We start from the raw sequence: 3,336 nt of genomic DNA on the forward strand, positions 1-3,336 counted from the left end.
TTATCCAGTTTCAGATATTCTTTTGTAGCAGCAAAAAATGGACTATGACATGGAGCTTTAAGAGACATCTGATAAAAATAAAATTTAAGTGAAAACGTGGGCAGATAGGATGAGAACCTGTCCCATGAAAAAACCCTGTGTAGTCACTAGGTGAGAGAAGAAATTCAGAACACCATGTCTTCACTCTATATGTGTACATCCTAGAGATGAAGAATTATAGATTAAAAAACCAAAATTACTATTTAATTATTTTGTATAACAAAATGAGACACTACCATCACTTTTTGAGACACTTATATCTATGTCAACCAAAAAGCAAATCCCAATTTTTCCTCCCCATACAACAGACCATCACATAAACTCCGCCCTGTGAGGGCCCAGGCCATCTAATTACAGCATTGCAGCTATCACAACTAAGCCAAGTATCTCAGGAGAAAAAAAGCTACCTGTTTCTAGCCACACAATTAAGCCATGTAAACACATGTCATACTTTGTGTCAAAGCAGTGATAGTATCAGTTACTTAGAGATGAATAACTGGTGCTTGGGACTGGAGCAGCCTTGAGACAAGAATATCACTCATCAGTCCCAAAGAAATGGCAGAGGAGGAACCATGGCTGGAAAAGCAGACGCTATAGTGGAAGACAACCTTTTAGGCTTCCTCAAAAGCCTGGAGTTGGGGTATCTTGCTGGTAATTGAAATTCCTATGTAAAATGTTGGAATAAAGAATAAAGTTAATTTGGGTGTGTTCTATTTTTTCCACATAAACTTGCAAGTTAGACCCACAGTTTTTGCTTATGTATCAATGTTATAATATGCTACTTTAACACTAGTGCTAGTTTATTAATCCTATGAGTTCAACTGTGTAATTTTCATTTTTTTGCTGTGTTTTGTAGGATTTTATGTAGTTTAATGTTTTCCTCCATATCTGAAATAAAATTTAAAAAAGTGTGCTTGATAGTTTAGAGTGCTTTCTTTAAATTTTTCTCTTAATTGCTGTTCATATTTCTTCTTTGATAGATATGCTTATGTTTCGTCTAAAAGTTTTATATTTTAGCACATTTGAAGATTGGCTTGGCTCTTCTTGGTCTTTAGATATCCATATAAATTTTTTAATGAATTCATCAGTTTCTTCAAATAAGCAAACCAGGATTTTAATAGGAATTATATTGAATCTGTGAATCAATTTGGAAAGTATTGCCATTTTAGCAATATTAGATTTCCAATCCATAAACATTGAATGTCACTTCACTTATTCAGGTCCTTAATTTCTTTCAAATATGCTTTGGAATTTCCAGTGTACATGTTTATCCTAAGTATTTCTTCTTTTTAATTATATTGTAAACACGTTTTTTAAAACTTTACTTTTGGATTTTTCATTGATAGTTTACACAAGTTATTTTTGAATATTGATCTTGTTTCTGGCATGCTTGCTAAACTTCTTTAATAGTTTTAATTTATTTTTTGCCTATACATGTAAATCCCCTGAGATTTTCTTTTTTTTTTTTTTTTTGAGATGGAGTCTCACTCTGTTGCCCAGGCTGGAGTGCAGTGGCACCATCTCGGCTCACTACAAGCTCGGCCTCCTGGGTTCACGCCATTCTCCTGCCTCAGCCTCCCAAGTAGCTGGGACTACAGGTGCCCACCACCACGCCCGGCTAATTTCTTTTTGTATTTTTAGTAGAGATGGGGTTTCACCGTGTTAGCCAGGATGGCTACGATCTCCTGACCTTGTGATCCGCCCACCTTGGCCTCCCAAAGTGCTGGGTTTACAGGCGTCAGCCACCGCGCCCGGCCGAGATTTTCTATAAACAAGACAATGTCATTTGTGGAAAGAGCTTTCCTTCTTTCTTTGTTATCTTGATGTCCTTCATTTCATTTTCTTACCTAATTGCCCTGAGTAAAACATTCATTAAAATGTTGAAGACAAGTGGCAAGCGTGGACAGCACTTTCTTGTTCCTAAACTTAGGGGAAAACATTTCAGTCTTTCACCCTAAAGAGTGATGTTATCTGTGGGTTTTGGTAATTGACCTCTCTCTCAGTTATGTTTTGTGCTCTACTTCAGGTGGAACTTGTCCCACTTCATTGTTGGGGTTCCATGTCTAGTATGCTTTGGCTCTGTGTCCCCACTCAAATCTCACCTTGAATTGTAATAATCCCCATGCATCATGGGAAGAATCAAATGGGAGTTAATTGAATCATCGCCGCAGGTTTGCCCCGTGCTGTTCTGGTGATAGTGAATAAGTCTCATGAGATCTGATGGTTTTATAAAGGGGAGTTCCCCTGCACACACTCTCTCTTGCCATATAAGATGTCCCTTTGCTCTTCCCTCTTCTTCCACCATGATTGGGAGGCCTTCCTAGCCATGTAGAACTGTGAGTCAATTAAACCTCTTTCCTTCATAAATTACCCACACTTGGGCATGTCTTTATTAAGCAGTGTGAGAACAGACTAGTACAATGTCCTTGATTGTCCTGTTGATATCACATGAAACCTTCATACATGTGATTCATATCAGTTTATATTTCTTCCTGTTCTACTCCACAATTTCCCATTTATCCACAGCCACTCTTCAACACATCTGCACACCTCTTTCAGGGACAGGAAAATTTTATCTGCTTTCTGCCACCATTTGCAGGCTGGAAGTAAGTGTAGGTTGTGGCAGTTGGATGTAGGAGCACCCTTATATGAGGACAGATTAATAAATATTTTCTTTTGGTAGTAATATTTTGTTTTATTGTCTCATGATTGAATCTACCATGCTGCCATGTTTACTTTGGTATGGCATGTTTTACCCTTGAGACATATATTCTCAGGAACTGGCTGTATCCACTGCTATATGCTGAAAGGATGGCACAAAATGTTTACTTGAACATCATATTTCTCAAAGGGGATTAATTTAACTCTCTTACCCAAGAGTCTGCACACAAAGGAAAAGGGAGGGCCCAGGGCAACACACACTGTTCAGCCCTCTTCATTTTTACCAGTTTAAATAGCATCATTTAAATCTGGAGATGAGGTTAGGAGAAGATGAAAACAAGTACCTAAGCTGTAACTTCCTGCACACACATGCACACACACACACACACACACACACACACTACATATATATATATATATATATATATATATATATGTATTTGAATTAGCTTTTAAATTCATTTTATATTTCAATGGATTTAAAAGCTAAGAACTTACCGTGTATTTTCCTCTCTTCTTTGGTGTCATTCTAACGCCTTCCCTGGGAGGTAGTTATCTGCCTTAATGATGGAATACAGGAAGATGGGGTAGAAACAATATCAATAACACTTCATCTCTCTCTCTCTCTCTCTCTCT

Source organism: Homo sapiens, chromosome 21 (assembly GCF_000001405.40).
Source record: "Homo sapiens chromosome 21, GRCh38.p14 Primary Assembly".
Taxonomy (NCBI): Eukaryota; Metazoa; Chordata; class Mammalia; order Primates; family Hominidae; genus Homo; species Homo sapiens.